The 22,035-nt window shown below is 35.9% G+C and overlaps 1 non-coding gene and 1 pseudogene across 1 annotated transcript; both read right to left on the bottom strand.

Annotated features, from left to right (window-relative positions):
- Positions 1–10,768: 10,768 nt before the first annotated feature.
- On the bottom strand, positions 10,769–10,844 carry MIR8060 (microRNA 8060). Its single transcript, NR_107027.1, has one exon. It is a non-coding gene; the product is annotated as a microRNA 8060 (primary transcript).
- An 8,825-nt stretch (positions 10,845–19,669) lies between these two features.
- On the bottom strand, positions 19,670–21,362 carry HNRNPKP4 (heterogeneous nuclear ribonucleoprotein K pseudogene 4; annotated as a pseudogene).

Genomic DNA, 22,035 nt, shown 5'->3' with positions numbered 1-22,035 from the left:
ACCACAAGCAAATAATTAGTCAGCACATGAGATGAAATAATTTCTTCTAATATTAAGCAGGTAACAAAGATGACAAAAAATCTGAGTGTATGAAGCAATATGAAAGATTGTTGAACACATAAGGCAAGATGATATCTGGAATTAATGTAATTAATAACCTGTTAAATCAATGACTGTCAGCTTGGTTAAAAAATTTATCTACATGCACTTTACAAGAGAATACATCATAAAAGGAAAGGTCAAATAGAATAACATGGACAAAGATTTATCAGGTAAATGCATCAACATGAATAAATAATGTTATGATAAGGTCAGAATACAGGGCAATAATCATTAAAAACAAATATGTGATCAATTTATTTTGAGATGAAAGTCAATTATGTAAATTTTTTTCCTTAAGCACTCTCTAATACAGTAAAATATAGAAATCAAGACAAAGTAAAAACTAAATAGACAATGCTGGAAATTTTAACATTACATGAAATCAGCTTGACAAATTAAAGACAGCAAATACCTTCATATATAGAAATGTTGAGTGTTATTATATAGTTGAATTTATAGATACTTATAGAACTTATTAATGCCAAAAAATACCCTATCTCAAGCAACAAAGTTTATAAACTTGATTATACATATCACTAAAAAATTGTGTAGGATGAAATGAATGCCTGTGAAAAAAGATTAATGTCCAAAATTTAATTTAATAAGAAAAGAGTAATAAAAGAATAATGATGCATTATATTTCATGTTATATTATTTTTTATATCACATAAAACAATGAAAGCTCCTGAATAGAGTTTATGAATGTAGAATTTCTCTGGTGTTAGAAAACATCAGATGCAAAAAAAAATATTGCTTATTATAGAAAGACCCTAACTAAAATAAAAAGCTGCAGTTGGGGTACATTAAAAATAATTCCCACTATAATTAAATAAAACTTATTTCAGGAATTCAAAGCAAGTATAAGATTATAAAATTTATTAATATAATATTCCACATGTTTAAGTCCAATTAGAAAGCCTGATGACCTTTTTAATAGATGTCAAAACTGAACTTGATATAATCTATTGCTATTTATAAGACATTAAGAAAAATTGGAATGAAAACACTATAAACTAACAGCCGACATATTTCCTAATAAATAAATTTATGAAATATTTTTGATACAGAAATGTAGAAAAAACACATAGTAAACATCTGTGTAATCAAAATTCAGCTTAATATGTTAATATTACCAATTCAAATAATATACCCCATACATATTTATGCATGGTAAGTATATCCTGATAGTGTCATTAGTTTCACTTCAGCATAGTCTTGAAGAACATGTACTTTAAATTTATAAAATTGTATCTACTAATCTTTTCCTTGAGTGTTTCCATTTTTATATATTGTTTAATAATAAAGTCAATGCAGTTTTTAAACCATTTTATTACTGAAAATTTTAAACATATACAAAAATAAGTAGAATTTTATAATGAACCCCAATATACCCATTACCAAGTTCCAATAATTATCAATTTGTGACCAAACTTGTTTATACTGGCACTAGCTCCCCCATATCCAGTATATTTTTAAATTCTTCTTTTATTTTAGATATGAGGGTAAAGGACTCACTATACAATCAATGATGCTGGGATAATTGGCTAGCCATATGCAGAACTCAGTTTTTCCTTAAATATTGTAGAGTTTTGCTTTTTCACATTTAGTTTTTAATATATTTGGCAACCATTTCAGACCATGAATAACAGCAGTCCAATTTAATTTTTTCCATATGAATACTCAATTGATGCAGAACCATCTACAAACCTACAAGGAAAAATTAAATATCACTGGACTGTTTGTGCCCACATATAGCCCTGTAACCTCTCCTCTGCCCCTTTGGTCTTTCCATGGTTTTCACTGTATCTTAATACTGTAGGTAATTAAGTATAGGTTTTCAATAATTTTGGTATCTAGTAATGCAAACCCTGAACAGTTGTTATATTTCTTCCAAATTATACTATTTTTCTTAGTTTTAAAATTTATCCATATTAAGTATAGAATCAGTTTTGTCACATTCTATGTGCAAAACAAACAATGCTGGACCTGCACTGAATTCTTAGATTGATGTGAGGATAATTGTAATCTTTAAAATTGTGAGCTTCATTGCCAGGTTCAGGGTGAATCCTTTCCTTTATTCAGGTCTCCGTTAATACTGCTCAATATATTGTTATATTCTTATTCATAAAATATATTCCACATATTACCAGAGTGACTTTTATTGATATTAGAAATTATCTTTCTAAAAGTACATACTAAGCCAACACCAAGAGAAATCTTTGTGGTGATGTAACTGTTCTGTATCTTGACTGTAATGGTGGATAACTCAATCTAAACACTTGATAAAATTGCATAAAGCTACACACACATGCATGCATGCACATAGGTATGAGTATAACTGTGAAAATATAAATAATATGGGTTTTTATATCAATGTCAAATTTCTGTTTTTGATGTGCTACAGTTTTGCAAAATGTTATCACTGGGGGAACTGGGTAACGGATAGAGTAAATCTGTCTGTATTACTTATTAAAACTGTAAGTGAATCTATGATTATTGGTTTTGGCAAAGACTCCAAGACCAAGAACCCCAAAGCAAATGCAACAAAAACAAAGATAAATAGATGGGACTTAAATTAACTAAAAACTTTCTGCACAGTAAAAGAAATAATCAGCAGAGTAAACAGACAACCCATAGAGTGGGAGAAAATCTTCGCAAATTTTGCATCCAACAAAGGACTAATATCTGGAATCTACAACGAACTCAAACGAGAAAAATTATCAATTTCATCAAAAACTGGGCTAAGGACATGAATAGACAATTCTCAAATGAAGATATACAGATGGCCAACAAACATACGAAAAAGTGCTCAACATCACTAACGATCAGGAAAATGCAAATCAAAACCACAGTGCAATACCTCCTTACTCCTGCAAGATGACCATAATCAAACAATTTAAAAATATTAGTTGTTGGTGTGGATGTGGTAAAAAGAGAATACTTTCATACTGCTGGTGGGAATGTAAAGTAGTATAACCACTGTAGAAAACAGTGTGGAGATTCCTTAAAGAACTGAAAGTAGATCTACCATTTGATCTGGCAATCCTACTCCTGGGTATGTACCCAGAGGAAAAGAAGTCATTACATGAAATGATACTTACACATTTCACAGCATAATTCGCAATTGCAAAAATATGGAACCAGCCCAAATGCCCATCAATCAACAAGTGGATAAAGAAAATGTGATATATATACCATGGAATACTACTCAGCCATAAAAAGAAACAAAATAATGGCATTTGCAACAACCTGGATGGAATTGGAGACCATTATTCTAAGTGAACTAACACAGGAATGGAAAACCAAACATCGTATATTCTCATTCATTAGTGGGAGCTAAGCTGTGAGGACACAAAGGCATAAGAATGATTCAATGGACTTTGGATACTTGGAGGAAAGGGTAGGAGGAGGTTGAGGGATAAAAGACTACACAGTGAGTACAGTGTACACTGCTAGGGTGTTGGGTGCACCAAAATCTCAGAAATTACCATTAAAGAACTTATCCATGTAACCAAACAGCACCTGTTCCCCAAAAACTTGTTGAAATAAAAAAATAAGAATTAAAAAAAAGCTGAAAAAGTAGAATGAGCCACTTTTTTTTTTTACGTGCTCCCGAAGTATGTATTCTAACTGTTCTTTGTACATAGAAATATGATGGCTTTCATATTGATGATGCATCCATCATGGCTACTGAGTTACAATTTATGATTAATTTCTTTGTAAATTTATGAGACATGTATGTAAGCAACCTTTTTATCTGAAAATAAAGAGATTTGTATTTCTTTATCATCTTTATTCTATTGTTTATTTTCCTTATCTCACCACACTGCTGAGCCATCCAGTTAAAAGGTAAATGAAAGTAATGAGCATTTTTAATCAGCTTATTTTACATACAATACATTTTAATCTCTTGTAAGTTTAATGTAAGTTTTGTTGGATACCTGTCATTCAGATTAAGGAAGTGTATTTTGTTTCTACCTTTAGCCATAAGGCACTGGACCCTCCCCACTGCCTTAAATAATGTAAAAACAGGGAAATACATAAAGCAATATTTTTATACATAAGACAATATATAGCACAAAATAGTGATGTGCAAAATAAGGGAAAAAAATAAGACGAGTTTCTTTCTAATTTGCTCGTAGGCCACAGAACAGGGAGAGGGAACAGAGTCTGGCAAGCTTGGTGAGTTGAAGAGACATACATCAGAGTTCAGAAAAAAACAGGAAAGCTAAAATTTGTGAAGCAAAATATTGAAGATGATGCAGCTGCATATTGACTAGAATTCTAGAAAATTGTAGAAGAGGGAAGCAAAAATTGGCTCATATGTACAGCTAAACCCATGGAAAGAGTCACCAATAAAGAGGTGGACCAAACAAATTGAAGCATTAGGGGAAATACAAATTTCCACTCTTAGGAATGAAAGAGGAGACACCATTCCAAATTCTGTACATATTAAAATGATAATAAGAAAATGCGGTTAGCTGATTCTTAAAATAAATTCAACAATTTGGATTAAATGAAAAAATTCCTCAAAATACAGACTATTAAAATTTATTTGAGAAAAATGTGATAACCTCTATACCTCTCTATTAAAGAAGTTAAATTTATGTTTAGAATATGCCTCACACACATAAAATTTCAGACCCTCGTGGCTGTCTACTCGCTCTGTTGATTCTTTACTATGCAAAAGCATTTTAGTTTGCTATATTCCCATTTGTCTATTTTTCTGTTGTTGCTTATTCTTTTGTAGTCTTACCCATAAAATATTTGCCTAGACCAATGTCCTGAAGTATACATCCTATGTTTCCTCAAGTAGTTTTATAGTTTTGGTCTTACATTTAAGACTATACCCCTTTTTGAGTTGATTTTTATGAGAGCAAAGTGATTAGTTTCATTCTTCTGCATGTGGATATCAAGTTTCCAAGCACCAATTAATGAAAAGGGTCTCCTTTCTGCAATGTACATTCTTGGTACCTTTGTTGAAAATCAGTTGGTTGTAAATACTTGGATCTTGTAATTCCTGTATCTTGTAAATACTTGGGAATTTTTCAACTATTATTTCATTATAAGTTTTCTATCACTTTTCCCAACTCTTCTCTTTATGGAACTTCCAAAATTGAATATGTGTTCTCTTAATGGTGTTCCAATATCATGTGGTCTTTTTTCATCATTTTTATTATTTTTTCTTCATCTTTTTGTCTGAATGAGTTACTTAAAAATTTGTCCTCATTTCAAAAATTGGTTTTCTATTATTTGCATTGTCTGGGTGTGGTCTCTTTTAACTTACTGAGTTTCCTTAAGATTATTATTTTAAGTTCCTTTTCAGACATTTTGTAGATTTCCTTTTTGAGGGAATCTGTTACTGGATAATATATTATCTTTCTTTGTAGGTGTCATGTTTCCTTGCTTTTTAATGTTTCTTGTGTGCCTATAGTGATGTCTGCACATCTGGTATAAGTTTATTCTTTCATTTTTATGGAGTAGTTTTTGTAAAGACTTTTTTTTCTGCTGATGTATTTTTAGTGTTGGTTGGGTAGGGTACTGTGGCTTTGGTCTGGGTGGGCACAATAGTGTAGTCTTCATATGATTTATTTGGCTACAGTCAACATTGGCTGTGTATGCAAGTTCCTCAGTAGCTCAGGCTATGGTTGTTTGTGAAGGTCATGGTGTAGCTTTCCTGAGAAAAGGGACACTGTGTGGGATAATACTCAGGCCTCTACAGGGTGTGTGCAGGCACTAGCAGTGGTAAAAACGAGCCCCATGGAGACCAGTTTTGGGGCTCCTATTTGTTGTGCTGCTGGATGTGGAGGGTTGGCAAAGCAGTAATGGCAGCCAGTGCCAGGTGGTGTAGTCCTCAGGCCCCTGGGTGGTATGTGTGGGCACTGGCAATAGTGGTGGTAGTCCCCAGTTAGGTGATTTCTTGGGCTCACGGGTGCCATGCACAGGAACCTTCAGTCCTTGAGCCCCCAAATGTCATGTGTGAGCCAGTTCAGGGCCCTCAGATGGTATGCATGGGCACTAGTGTTGGCAGCAGTGGGGCCCAAGGCTAGGCAATTTTTCAGTCCTTTGGAGGTGTGTGCAGGCTCAAGTGATGGCTATAGCATGTATACACGTGCATCTTGGTGGCAGTGGTGGCAGGCCCCAGGCAAACTGGTTCTTGGGCCCCCATGTGACCAGTCCTTAGGTCCTCAGGCAGTGCTCATAGACCTGTGTGGGCCAGTTTGCTGGCCTATAGATGGCACCTGTGGATGCATGTTGGATCCACCACTAGAGAACTGATGTGGCCACAAAGAGTGGCAGGCCCAGATGGCTCTCAGACTTTGCAGAGTACACCCTTTGACTTCCTATGTCCTAGGGGCAGCCTCAATGATGTGCTTGAGATCTAGGCCAATGAGGGAACCTCATTGCCATGGACATGGTTAAACCCTTGTGTCCAGCTGATGTCATGTTGCTGCAGCCCTCTGAATGGATCTAAGGGGATATGGGGAGAGCCTCAGGGATGTGGAGATACAGGGGCTCTTAGGCCCCAAGTCAGGGCAGACTGTAGTATGATGGTAGCTTCACTCTCAAAATGACACTGTACTGAAGCAGCTGGGGGACTTGGGTGTGTCTGGAGGGTTTCAGTGTGAGTTATTTCTTTAGAACATTGCAGTCTCATGGACTCTAGGCAACTCCTTATACTGGACTCAGGGCCTGTGAAGGATGATAAACTCTGCTATAATGTGGATTTCAGGCATCTGTGGTGGAAGTGTAGAATACTGGGGCTTTCTCTTTACTTTTTTTTCCACGGTGGGGTGTCTTTCTTGGCTCCAAACCAATCCTGGCTGACTGGTGTGCTTCCCTCTCTATGTTATCATCTGGAGTTTCTACGTTTTAAAGGGCTTTTGTCACTTCTTTTCTGAATTCCAATGTTCACTCTTAGATACTCTATTCAATGTGTAGTTATTTACTTGCTGTTGGGTCCTTCTTTTTGGAGAAGGCAAGTGCTGGATGACTCTGGTCAGCCATGTGGATGACACCTCCAGAGGTACAGATTTACACTGACTCATATACAGTGATTATGAGTTTGGTTGAATGGTCAGGAATGTGGAAGGAATATTATTAGAAAATTGAGGAAAGAGATATGTGGATGAAACTCTTCTAATGAGGACAAAATACACAGATAATTGTGTCTTATGTTCGTATTCATTGAATATAAATCTTAGCAATGAAGATCTTAATAATCAAGTGTATAGGACAATCTGTGCTATAGTTATTAGAAGACTTCTTTTCCCAGTTAACCATGTTTATGCTCAACAAGTTTAGAAATAAAGTTGTCAACTCAACAGGGTTATAGTACACATTGGATTCAACAGCATGGATCTGCAATCACTAAGGCCTATATGGTTAGATCCACTGCTGATTGTCAAACCTGTTAGTAGGAAAGACCAACAGTGACCTATCAGTATGGCACATTCCTGGTGCAACCTAGTGACAAATTAATCACATAGAAACATTTTGAAGGTCGTGGAATTGACCTTCCACATAGGTAAATAGATTTGCCTTTCTTACACACAATGCTTCTTTCCAAAGCACCACCTGTAAATCACTAAAATGTCTTTCTTACAATCATGATGTTTCACACACTATTGCTTCTGACCACAGAACATATTTTATAGCAAACACACTGTGGCAATGGGGTTCTACTTATTGGTTTCATTTAGTCTTCTTATGTTCTCTGTCACTGTAAAGTAGTTGGCCTAATAGAATTGCAAAGTGGCTATTTTTAAAAAATAATATATTTATTGGGAACATGTTAGATTTAAAGGTTTCAAAGATAATACAGAAAACTCTCATATATCTCTCACTAAGTTTCAGTTTCAATTAACATAGCATTTAGTTAATGTTATCTTTTTACTATGGTACATTTGTCAAAACTAAGGAACAAATATTAGTATTACTATTAATTAATTCTAGGCCTTATTGAGATTGTATCAGTTTTTCTCCTAATGCCCTTTCTCTTCCAGTGTCCAATACATGATACTATTCTGCAATTAGCTATCATGTCTCCTTAGTCTCTTTTGTTCTGTGACAATTTCTGAGTTTTTCTTAAGTTTCATGACTTTGACACTCATAGGAGTACTGGTCAGTTATTTTGTAGAATTTCTCTCAATTTGAATTTCTCTGATGTTTTTGTCATGATTGTACCTGGATTATGGGTTTTTTTTTATAAAGAATGATGCAGAAATGATATGCCCTTGTCATTACATCCTATCAGAGGGCACATGATATTAGTATAACATCACTGGTGATGTTAACCTTAATCATTTATTTAAGGTGGCATTTGCCATATTTCTCCACTGTAAAGTTCCTATTTTACCCTTTCCATATTTCACTTTATGTCTAGTCCACCACAAAAAAAAAGTGAGGGAGTTTAAAGCTCAGTTTCTAGAGGAAATAGTATCTACTTATAATAGGAATTCTTCTTTAAAAAAGAGTAGTTTCCTCTTTCTCATTTCTTTATTCATTCAATCATTTATAACAGTATGAAAACATACATATTTATTTTTATACTTTGGGTAATAATCCCATACTTTATTTTTCATTGTGTTGTTCAAATATCATGGTTCTGGACATTGACAGCTCTTTCCTGGTGGCTCCCGGGTCCCTTTGACATGCCATAGTCCTTTTGAATTTTTAGCACTTCCTTTCTTTCTTGTTCTCCAAGCTAATCTTGAATTTTTGTGGATCCAGACTATCAGCAAGTTTTAAAAGCTCAGTTTTCTTGAGAGGTTGGTTTAATAAACACCACCAAAGATATCTAAAGGAATTATAAATATTCTTTTGGGAAGACAGTTACCTTGTTTTGGGTTATGCAACAAATCATTTGTAACATGTTATTAAGAAGTGTGATTTCATTGTTGTCTATTTGGAAGTTAACCATGTTTTAAAAAGTATGTAGATGGCATGTTGAAAGAGTGTGAACTGTGGCGGGCTTGGAATGCATCAATGTAATGTCAGGATAATGTATATACATTGGTTTTTGTCCACTGTTCCTGGAATCCCACAGCCTTTGTTAGAGTCTTTATTATAATGTCAGTGTGATTTGGCCTCAAGATCAGACCGCAGGAAACAAAATTTCTCTCTCTGAAATTCTCCTGTCCTTTTATTTGGCCAAGATAGGACTCTAATCTTTTTTTGGTTTAAAAGATCCTTATTCCAGAGCAGTCCTGCCCCATACATATAGGATGAAATCATAGTAATAGCCATGTGCCCTTTTGATGCAATCACACAGCTACATGTGGACACCTCTATATGTGATTGGACAAAAAGGCTGCATGGTTGTCAGTCACACCTATTTAAGCCTCCATAAAACCCCCAAAGGACAGGGTTTGAAGAACTTCTGGAGAGCTGAACAAGTGGAGGTTCCTGGAGGATGACTTGCCAAAGGAGGTTTAGGGAACCTAGGTGCCCCTTCCCTCATACTTTGTCCTGTGCATCTTTTCACCTGTATCTTTTGTAATATCTTTTAAAATAAACTGGTAAACAAAAGTAAGAGTTTTTCTGGGTTCTTTGAACTGCTTCAGAAAATTAATGAAAGCCAAAGATGGAGTCATGGAAACTTTGACTTGAAGACGGTTGGTCAGAAGTTCTGGAGTCTAGGACTCGTAATAGATCTCTAGTGGGGGGCATACATCAGGACTGAACTCTCAATCTGAGGGATCTGATCCTATCTCTAGCTAGTGTTGGAACTGAATTGTAGAACACCCAGTTAATGTCCGCTGCAGAATTTATTGCTTGCTTGGTGGTGAGGAGAACCCCACCCACCTACATTTTATAACAGCAGTCTTCTGTGTTGATGATTGCTGTGGTCTGAAAGCAGACCAAAAACCAAAAGATTAAAAAAAAAAAGTCAACTTAGTTAAATTAGTAGTGAAATGTTCTAGGCATAAGCTTTGCTGCATAGCTCCAATACAGTATTAGCCACAGAACAAATTGTGTGCATAATTTGAAATGTGCATGTAAAGGGCAGCCATATTTTTGTATACTGGGAATGTTGGAACAGGGTGCTGTGAAGCTTCTACTGCTTGTGCACATTGTCACTGATCTGCTGGCTTATTGGTTGTTGTGAAAAAGCAGCTCACCTTAGAGTTCTTCCAGTTCTCACTGATTATACTCCTTCAGCTTTTCTAAGTCCTTGGCCAGAGCATGCAACACTGCAGCATTAGTAGCCAGGCTCTCAATTTCTCCGTGTTTTGTTGCATCCCTTCCTTGAGTTTCTTTGGATCCTGGTTCAAGTCTGTGCTTATCTCTGTGAGGAAAGCTTCTCCTGAAGTTCATCTGCAACATAGGGATGAAGGCAAGGAGGCAATGAGAGGCTGACCCAATTTTCGGCTCCTCCTTGAAGGTTCCATTTCTCTTTGCTCCCCCTGCCTCACTTTACGTTCACCATTCCTTCACAACCATTGGCTTTGCCAACCTCAAGCCCAGTAGCTGAGGAAGAAGCAATGATTGTATATAATCTGCGCACCTAGCCCCAACATTTTTTTAAGGTAACATCTCCATAGTTAATTTATTTTGTATTATTTATCATTATTCCATTTCAGTAATCAAATTCTCACGGGTAAACTATGAATTTCGAATATGAGGTTACCTAGTCACACATGTATTTCTAGTGGCCGTATGAGCTTTTTCCTGTCCTCCTACCCACTGCTTCATGGGATATCTGACCAGAATAGTAAGTGGGAAAAACAGGATTTAAACCTATGCTATATTGATTTATATGCACTTATGCTTTTATTTTTACTTTTATTTTACTTTTTCAAACTTTTATTTTAGATTCAGGGGTACCATACAGGTTTGTTTTATAGGTAAACTGTGTCACAGGGGTTTGTTGTACACATTATTTCATTACCAGGTACGAAGCCTAGTACTCAATAGTTATTTTCTCTGTTCCTCTCCTTGCTCCCACCTTCCACCCTCTGGCAGGTCTCTGTTGTTCCTCTCTTTGTGTTCATGCTCATTATTTAGCTCCTACTTGTAAATAAGAAATGTGATATTTGGTTTTCTGTTCCTGCATTAATTTGCTCAGGATAATGGCCTCTAGCTCCATCCATGTTCCTGCAAAGGACATGATCTCATTCTTTTTATGGCTACATAGTATTCCATGGTATATATGTACAACATTTTATTTATCCAGTCTACCATTGATAGGCATTTAGGTTGATTCCATGTCATTGCTATTCTGAACAGTGCTGCAATGAACATACACGTATGTGTGTGTCTTTATACAGAACAATTTATATTACTTTGGGCATATATACAGTAACAAGTTTGCTGTCAATTCTTAGTCCCTTTTTTGGCTCTTTGACGAATTGCCTTACTGCTTTCCACAATGACTGAACTAATTTGCACTCCTTCCAAAAATGTATGAGCATTCCCTTTTCTCCACAATCTTGCCAGCATCTGTTATTTTTTGACTTTTGGGTAATAGCCATTTTGACTAGTGTGGGATGGTATCTCACAGTTTTTATTTGCATTTCTCTAATGATCAGTGATATTGAGAACTTTTTCACAGGCTTGGTTGGCTGCATTTGTGTCTTTGGAAAATGTCTGTTCATGTCTCTCGCCCACTTTTTAATGGGGTTGTTTGCTTTTTTTCTTGTAAATTTCTTTAAATTCCTTACAGATGTTGGATATTAGACCTTTGTCAAATGCGTAGTTTGCAGTTATTTCTCTCATTCTGTAGGTTTTCTGTTTATTCTGTTGATAGTTGCTTTTGATGTGCAGAAGCTCTTTAGTTTAATTAGGGCCCATCTGTCAATCTTTGTTTTTATTGCAATTGCTTTTAGCATCATCATCCTAATATTTTTGTTGGAGCTTTTGTCAAGAATGATATTTCCTAGGTTATCTTCCAATGTTTTTATAATTTTAGGATTTACATTTAAGTCTTTAATCCTTCTTAAGTTGATTTTTGCTTATAGTGTGAGGAAGGGATCCAGTTTCAATCTTCTGCATATGGCTAGCCAGTTCTCCCAGCACCATTTATTGAATAGGGAATTCTTGCCTTATTGCTTGTTTTTTATCAGGTTTGTTGAAGATCAGGTAGTCTAGGTTTTGAGGGAAACTACCTCAAAATAATAAGAGCTATCTTTGACAAATCCAACATCATACTAAATGGACAAAAGCTGGAAGCATTCCGCTTGAACATGGGCACAAGACAAGGATGTCCTCCCACCTCATTCCTATTCAACATAGTATTGGAAGTTCTGGACACAACAGTTAGGCAAGAGAAAGAAATAAAGGGGTATCTAAATAAGATAAGAGGAAGTCAAAGTATCCCTGTTTGCAGACAACAGAATTCTATATCTAGGAAACTCTATAGTATTGGTCCAAAAGCTTCTTCAACTGATAAACAACTTCATCAAATTTCAGGATACAAAATCAACATATAAAAATCACTAGCATTACTATACACCAACAACAGTCAAGCCAAAAGCCAAATCTGGAATGCAATTCCATTCACAAATGCCACAAAAATAATCAAATCTACAATGAGAATTACAAAACACTGCTCAAAGAAATCAGAGATGACACAAACAAATGGAAAAACATTCCATGCTCATGGGTTGGAATAATCAATATTGTTGAAATGGCCATACTGCCCAAAGCAATTTATAGATTTAATGCTATTCCTATCAAATTACCAATAATGTTCTTTACAGAGCTAGTAAAAAACTATTTTAAAATTTGTATGGAACAAAAAAAGACCTGGAATAGTGAAGGCAATCCTAAGCAAAAAGAATAAAGCTAGAGGCATCATGCTACCTGACTTCAAGAGGGCTACAGTAACCAAAACGGGATGGTATTGGTACAAAAACACACACATAGACCAATGGAACATAATAGAGAGCCCAGAAGTCAGGCCACACACATACAACCATCTGATCTATGACAAAGCTGTCAAAAACAAGCAATGGCGAAAGGACTCCCTGTTGAATGAATGTGCTGGGATAACTGGCTAGCCATGTGCAGAAGATTGAAACTGGACCCCTTCCTTACACCCTACACAAAAATCAACTTAAGATGGATTAAAGACTTAAATGTAAATCCTAAAATTATAAAAACACCGGAATATAACCTAGAAAATACCATTCTGAACAAAAGCTCTGACAAAAATCTTAGGTGTTCATTATAATCTGTGATGATTATTTTTATTTCTGTGCAGTCAGAAATACCCTCTTTGTCATTTCTGATTTTGTTTATTTGTTTTTTTTCTCTTTTCTTCTTTATTAGTCTAACTAGCAGTCTATTTCATTAATTTAAAAAAAAACAGCTCCTGGCTTCATTGATCTTTTGAATGGTTTTTCATGTCTCAGTCTCCTTCAGTTCAGCTCTGATTTTTATTATCTCTTTTTCTTCTGTTAGCTTTGGGGTTGGTTTGCATTACATAATAATGCTTCTCCAGTTCTTTTAGTTGTGATGTTAGATTGCTAATTTGAGTTCTTTCTAACTTTTTGATGTGGATGTTTAGTACTACACATTTCCCTCTTAACACTCCTTAGCTGTGTCCCAGTGATTTTGGTATGTTGTATCTTTGTTCTCATTAGTTTCAAATAACTTCTTTATTTCTGCCTTAATTCCATTATTTGCCCAGAAAGTCATTCAGGAGACGGTCATTTAATTTTGATGTAAATGCATGGTTTTGAGGGATTTTCTTCATATTGAATTCTGTTTTTATTGTGCTGTGGTCCAAGAGTGTGGGTGGTATAATTTCATTTTTAAAATTTCCTGAGGATTTTTTTATGTCTAAACGTGTGGTTGATTGTAGAATATGTACCATGTGCAGATGAGAAGAATGTGCATTCTATTGTTTTTGGGTGGAGTATTCTGTAGATGTCTATCAGATCCATTTGATCCAGTGTTGAGATTAGATCTTGAATATCTTTGTTAATATTCTGCCTTGATGATTGTCTGATGCTGTCAGTGGGGTGTTGAAGTCTCCCGGTATTATTTTGTGGGAGTCTAAGTCTATTTGAAGGTCTCTAAGAACTTGCTTTGTAAAATCTGAATGCCACTATGTTGAGTGAATATATGTTAAAAATCATTGGTCTTCTTGTTAAATTGAACCCTTAACCATTATATAATGCCCTTGTTTGTCTTTTTTTACCTTTGTTGGTTTAAAGTCTGTTTAGTGTGAAATTAGAATTGAAACCCTTGCTTTTTTCTATTTTCCATTTGATTGGTAGATTTTTCTCCATTCATTTATTTTGAGCCTCTTCATGTCATTGAACATGAGATGGGTCTCCTGAAGGTAGAATACCATTGGGTCTTGGTTCTTTATCCAGCTTGGCATTCTGTGCCTTTTAATTTATGATGCAGGCCCCTAGGACGTACCTGGGGGCTTCACTGCAAGCTAACATGGCCAGGCTGAGGTCCCAAGAGAGACCAGCAGACTGAAGGGTGCTCATGTCAGATTGTCCCTGTCTGATGGGCAATACTGTCCTGAAGAGTTCAGGTCTGAGAGTTTCCCTAGGGATAAAGTCTCCTATGGGAGCAAATCAAGCCTAGAAGAATGGGCATCCCTGTCTGTGCTCCACCACAGACACTCCCACACCAAATTCTCTGGGCTCTGACCTGGCTGGAGTTCTGCCCCTACCACTTCCTTAAGTAGCTTTCCCTGCCAACTCAAGTGTCCATAGTGGTTGAAGGGTCTCCTCCTTTTGGGATTCCAGAGGCCTGTGGTGAGAATGAGTTGCTCCTTTTCTGTTCAACTCATGCCCTCTGTGAGAGTCACTGGAATCCAGGAACAAGTCTCAGTGCATGGTAACCCCATGTAGGGTCCCCAGCTTCTTCCCCCTTCAGCCTAGTCTCTGTTTCTTCCCTCCACCCAGTCTCAATGGCTTCCCTCTGAAGACGTGCTAGCATTGTGTTAGAATTAACAAATATCCCTCCTGTTGGTAAAGAAGGTAACTATTGAATAAATTAAGAAAACCTTTCTCATTTTTCAATTTAGTTATTGTCATCAGTTAGTACACATAATTTTTTTCTTTTTTTTTTTTTCAAGATGGAGTCTTGCTCTGTCACCTAGGCTGGAGTGCAGTGTCATAATATCGATTCGCTGCAACCTCCACCTCCCGGGTTCAAGCTATTCTCCTGCCTTAGCCTCCTTATTAGCTGGGACTGCAGGTACCAGCCACCACGCCCAGCTAATTTTTGTATTTTTAGTAGAGATGGGGTTTCGCTATGTTGGCCAGGCTGGTCTCAAACTCCTGACCTTGTGATCTGCCTGCCTCGGCCTCCCAAAGTGCTGGGATTACAGGTGTGAGCCACTGTACCAAACCAGTATTTATAATTTTAAAAATAAATTTACAATATCAACTTTAACATTAACATTAAACACAAGTTATATTTTTAGTAATGACTATGTTGTATGAAGGAAGAAAAATGGGTAGAGAGAAATGCTAAGATTTTGAACAGTTGTTGGAAGACATACAATTAATCCATAGACATCTATTGGTGTGGATACCATGTGAAAAATTAACTCCATCATGAGTATGGTAAGTTATAACCCACTTATAAAAAAAATTTATGGCTTTCCTTATAGTTTAAACTGTAATATTACTGAGAGACTCATGAATGTCTGCACAAGTGAGTGTGTGTTTGTGTGTATGTGTGTGCAAAGTTACTTGGCTGAACAATAAAAAATAATGAAATATAGCTACAAATCAGCCTGCTGGAATGAACCCAAAGGAAATAAATCTTGGAATTCCTGTTACTATGGATCCACTCTGACTCATAGGGCACAGTTGGAACCTTTCTGCAAAACATGCAGTGCCATAGTTTCCTTCACTCTTCCTTGCTCTCCCAACAGTTTTTGGAGATATTTGTTCTAAAGATGGCAAACTTGTTTTTGTGGAATATTTGGTCTCCACCTGGAAGATTTGGATCAAATTTTTAGGGAATAATTACTCTCTACCTTTCCGGATGATAGATCCTAGATCAAGACTAATGCTTATGAATATGGAATGTAACACTTAGGTTAAAGAAAAACATACCTTTGCAGACAATTGCAGAGTCTGGGACCAGGTTAGAAGGTTAAAATCCACGAAGTGACCCAGTATAATAACTTTTGTAAGGTTTTTACTCTTTGAGGGTGTTTACCTTAAACTATAATGGTAGGGTGGACACCTCACAATTTTTCCCCAATGACACCTTACATTTAGTACATATTGTTTATTATTTTTCTCCTTTGAACTAAGTGTTACATGTAGAATTTGAATACTTGAATGAGCTTATATGCTCGAAGTAAGAAACATAGTCATAAAAGGACATGTAGCATGCTTTGTCTTTTCTTCTTCAACTTACTCTTGTGTAAGTAGCGACATTGAGCCTAATGGGACTTTAGTCTCTGTGTCAGTGCCATGATAAACAATAGAGTTACCAGTGACCTCTTGTAGAGAGCAGAAGGTTTGGAATACACATTTCCAGTAGACAGAACCCACATCCCTTTGAGACTCTCTTTCCAAAATTATTAAGTTGAGGTGGGATATGGTAATCATTTAGGTTGCATGTAAGACATAAAAAAATAACAAAACCAAATTCAGCTAGAATTATCTGTAGGAAAATTCATAATCAGATAATAATACAATTACTCACTGTAAATGTACATATTTAAAATAAAAATACGATGCAAGTTATGGTCTAAATTATATAGTGGATTCTCATATAGTTTGTTCAGAAGGATAAAAGCAAAAAAAAGACAGGATTGTCATTTACAAAATAGAGATAGGAATGACTGTTTCCTATCAACTGCACACAAGTGTGTGAATCAATTAGAGATTGATTTCAGTTGGGAGTGGGAAAAACCTGTAAAGTTCTTAGCTCCTTTGAGATGTTCTGGATGACCTTTAAATCATTTTCTTACTTTTTATTGTATTGTAATTATCTTACCTTGGCAATTAGATACATTCTACAAATGCTTTGCTTACAAAAATATCTGCTTTTGAAATAATAAATTTTAGATTGAATTATGGAGACATAAAAAGTGTTTCTTTCTAAACACTGTAAATTATATTGGTATAACATATTTCTCCCCCAGAATAATAAATTCACTAGAAAGAAATGTCTAAAATTTGAATTTTATTTTATAAAAAAGAATTAAATAAATAAAATTATGTTAAGTCCCAGGGATGTTTTGCACAATGTTTATGTCAAAATTGTTCGGCTTTCCAATTAAGGCACCTGTGATATATAATTTTTACTAAAACTGTGCAAAGGGGAAAACAAGCTACTCTGCATTTAACTAATATACACAGCTTTTACTTTACATGTATTTTTAAAATGGTTAGAAACTAAAAATGTATTAATTTAGAATGTTTTGAGTACATAAAAATGCTAATTCTAGAATATCTCAAACAGTAAATGAAAACAAGAAATTTAAAAGTCTTTTTAAAATTTTGCATTTAAATAATCATTTACTCTCAAATTTTATGTTCAGGAGTATGTAACCTTAAGGCAATTAACGTATTGCCTTTGGGGACTGTATTAGTTTGTTCTCACACTGCTATAAAAACCTGCATGAGACTGGGTAGTTTATAAAGAAAAAAGGTTTAATTCACTCACAATTCCACAGGCTGTACAGGAGGCATGGCTGGGAAAGCCTGAGAAAACTTATAATCATGGCAGAAGGGCAAAGGGAAAGTAAGCATGTCTTCACATGTAGCAGGAGAGAGAGTGAAGGCAGAAGTGCTACACACTTTTAAACAACCAAATCTCATGAGAATTCACTCACTGTCATGGGAACAGCAAGGGGGATATCTGCCTGCCCCCCCCACTCCCTCATGAACCAATCACCTTCCACCAGGTCCCTCCCCCCAACACTGGGGATTACAATTCAACATGAGATTTGTGTGGGGACACAGAGCCAAACCAAACCATATCAGGAACTTTTTTATTATTCAAATTAGCAGTTAAAAAACAATTGATATACATACTAATTATTCACTTTATGATGACAGAAAATGTTTTTTATACTTCTTTCTACAAAAGAAAATTTAGATATCTTATATATACATATCATTGCAGTTCAAAATACATCAGTTTATTGATGAGATAAATTAATTCAATTTTACCTTGAAAAGAATAGGCATGACATTTAGAGAGACTTTTTGACATTTGTTTTATATCAACTTCTAACATTCAAAAAATAGTCTGTTTCTGAAACTCAAGTTTGAACTGAAAAGGCAGATTTCATTTCAGCCTCTTATGATAGCATATTTTAATCTGTGCATTGTATTTACAACAAAACAAAATAATGTTGAAAAACATTTATTTTCCCTTCATCTCACTTTCAAGTCTTCAAATCTTGATTATAGTTTAAAGAGTGAAAGATTCTTTTTATATATATATATATATATATATATATAAGATTTATATATATGTATAAGATTTGTATATATATATATCTATATAAGATTACTGTATTCCCTTAAGAGGAACGTTTCAACAAATTTTACAGGTGTCAATCAACCCTTGTTCAAATTGGGCACACATCAAATCTAGCATCATGGGTGTTTTATTTGGAAGTGAATTTTAACTATCAATACAGATGCCAAGATACTACACAAAACATCTACAGGAACTTTTTTCATCTTTTTTTTTTAATTGTACACAAACATTTCCTACATAATCCAACATACAACAGAGAAATGGTACATCTTTTTCTTTCAATTTGCATACAATGGAAAAACAAATATATGTATATTTTACAAAGTTTAACTAATAAGACACTAGAGCAAGTTCACAGTTTAAGTCTATAGGTGAGAAATTATCTAATAAAAATAATCAATTTTTTCAGCATTAGTCACTTCCATAACCAAGTGTTATTCTGACTAATAAAACTTGCTGCCAATCAGAATTCTGGTATATACTCATACCATTACTCAACTTGTAGTACTGCTCCCCACCTTAGTTCTTCACAGCTACTAACATAGAAAATTATTGAAAAGTAGGGGCAAGCATTTGCAAAAACAAACAAAAAATCCCCAGCTTATTATAAGCATGAATATGTATGATGGAATTTCTTCCCAGCAATAGACTTCCAAACTATCAAGAAATCACCAGAACTAAGTTTGCCAAGTTATTTTGCCTATGTCCAACAAGAGACACACTTACATGTCCAACAGAGGAGCTGAAAATTAAACTTAGTGTTTAGTTTGGGGGTGGGTTGGAAAATTCAGCCACCATTTTAAAATGACTGTCTTAAAAAAATGACCACCAAAAATAGGTTCACTAAATTTATTTTAAAAATCATAAAACGTTTCTTACAAAAGAGCATTACATTCTGCACACTGCTCTGAACAGATACCAGGGACATGTGGACTATTGTTACTTTTCCTCCCTGTCCCACCCCCAAGTGTTACAGTGACCACAAAGCAAGGTGTTCACAATAATTACATGGGGGGAATTTTTTTAAACCACCAACAATAACAAAAAATAAAATCCACTCACTCTGCTGCTGTTTCAAAATTTCAGTGTTAGTTTTTGCACACCCTTCCCTGGCCCAACCCTGTTTGTAAGGAACTAAAACATTACATCTGGTGAACAGCAAAGATTTCACTACACCTCAAATGCAGAACACCTGTGAAGCAGAGGCGTGTTGGCTTTTTAAACAGAAGCAGATAACAAAAAAAAAAAAGACGTAGTTCTTCACTAGTCTTAGAAAAACTTTCCAGAATACTGCGTCACACTATAAAAAAGAAAAAAATATCTTGCATTATACTCCTTCAACATCTGCACACTGCTTCACACTGTTCTGCAGCAAATACTGTGCATTCTGTATCTGGTCCTGTGTTTCTCTAATGGTAATGATCCAATCTTCCAATCCTTCTAAAGGCTCATCAATTTTGATCGAAGCTCCCGACTCATGACGGATTTGTTTAATCTGCAGACCACCTTTGCCAATAATAGATCCAGCCAAATCTTTGGGAATCGTTACTTGTGTAGTAATAATAAGTCCACCAAGATTACCATATGAGCCACGACCCCCTGCATAGGAATAATCATATCTGGAGCCACCCTGTGGTTCATAAGCCATCTGCCATTCTGATGGGCTCCATGTATCTATTGCAGAGTCCCAAGTTTCATCAGCACTGAAACCAACCATGCCATGGTAACAGTCTCCAGGTCTCCCTCTTCTGTCATAGGCCATGAGGTCTCCCCCTCTAGGTGGTGGTGGAGGAGGAAGAGGAAGATTCCGAGCTCTGCTACCACCCTCACCACCTTGTCCTGGAGGAGGTGGAGGTGGTCCTTGACGAGGGCTCATATCATCATAATCTCTTCTAGATGGAGGCATGGGACGCCCACCCTGACCAGGAGGCATTCTGTCAAAACCACCTCTTCCCCGCATGGGAAATCCCACTGGGCGTCCACAGCGGTCATCAAACATAATTGTAAAACCACCATAATCATAGGTTTCATCATAAAAATTGGGATCATAAGGCTGTGCACGTCCTTTGATGGGAGACTCATATATAAGATCAAGGATGATCTTTATGCACTCTACAACCCTATCGGGTTTTCCTCCAATAAGAACAACTCTTGTCAGTGGAATAAGGACAGCATTCCTGGAAAAGCTTGATGGTGGTTTGAGTGTTCTCTCGAAGTTCTTTGATTTTAGCACCTTCGACCCCAATAATTCCTCCTGCTAGACTCTGATGAATCAACAGCCTCAACTCGCAGTCAAAGTCACTTCCTTTATAGTGTTGGTAACTTAAGCATTCCACAGCAACAGATTCGAGCGGCAGCTGGCTGGTTGCAGTGGGTGATGGAAACTGCAGGCCCTCTTCCAAGGTAGGGATGATTTTCTTCAGAATTTCTCCAATTGTGTCAATACCAGCACTGATACTCAATATGTGCTCGGGGCCACTGCTGTCTGGGACTGAAACACTGGCATTGTAGTCTGTACGGAGAGCCTTGATATTCTTGCCTCCTTTTCCAATCACTGCCCCAGCATTCTTGGTCTGAAGCAGAATGCGTAATTCAACCATCTCATCAGTGTTTCTAGATCTTTTAAATGCTTGTTACTCTTCCATATCTTCTGCAGGGTGTTTACCAAATTCACCATTGGTTTCAGTGTTCGGGAAGGTTTCTTCCGGCTGTTCAGTTTACATATTCTTTTATTAAATGGGCACACCAATCAGTTATTATATATCCTTGCAGAGCAGAACTGAAGCGTTCTGGGTGGGACCAACAACTGACACCCCAGTGCTGCAGTAGCCTATAGTCAGTGAACAAGTGGGCCACAGGCAAGGCGTCGAGGTCGGTGCAGCAGAGAAACAGAGGATAATGGCGTCTGCCGAAAGATCCTTTTTATTTGTTTATTTGTTTTCAACTTACTCTTTAAATCTGAGGTGGTCTATACTTAAATTTCAGTATAAGGCTAACGTAGTAATGTAACTTAAAAGGCCATTTCATAAAGAAGAACATCAAAAAAGGTTTTGAGATTTACTTATTGTTAAAATACCTTCCTTGAAGGATTATTGTGATAACTAATTAAAATATCTTAAATAAGAAATATGACACTATATATGCTTCTTGACAAATTTTGACACTCACACATACCCACACTTGTGTTGAATATCTATACATGAAGAAACAGGTACAACTCAAGCTGAAGCAGTCTTTAGCAATTTATCTTTACCTTTTATTTTGAATTTTCTACCAGAAAAGGCAAAAATGAAAATTAAAGGTTATGTAACTTCAATTGTATCCAAAGGAAAAAAAAAGAAGCTGAGAAGTTGCAACACATGATTAAGATTAGCAGATTTTATCCATGTCAATAATTCTAAAATAATTAGCAGTAGAAATCTTTCTTATATAAGGTGAATTGAAAGACAATGCAAAGTATATAATTGATTTCTAAAAATGAGCAACAAAAGCCAAAAACACCTT

The sequence above is a fragment of the Homo sapiens genome, chromosome 3 (genome assembly GCF_000001405.40).
Source record: "Homo sapiens chromosome 3, GRCh38.p14 Primary Assembly".
NCBI lineage: Eukaryota > Metazoa > Chordata > Mammalia > Primates > Hominidae > Homo > Homo sapiens.
Note: the sequence above shows the minus strand (reverse complement) of the source record. Positions and strands in the feature narration are given on the sequence as shown.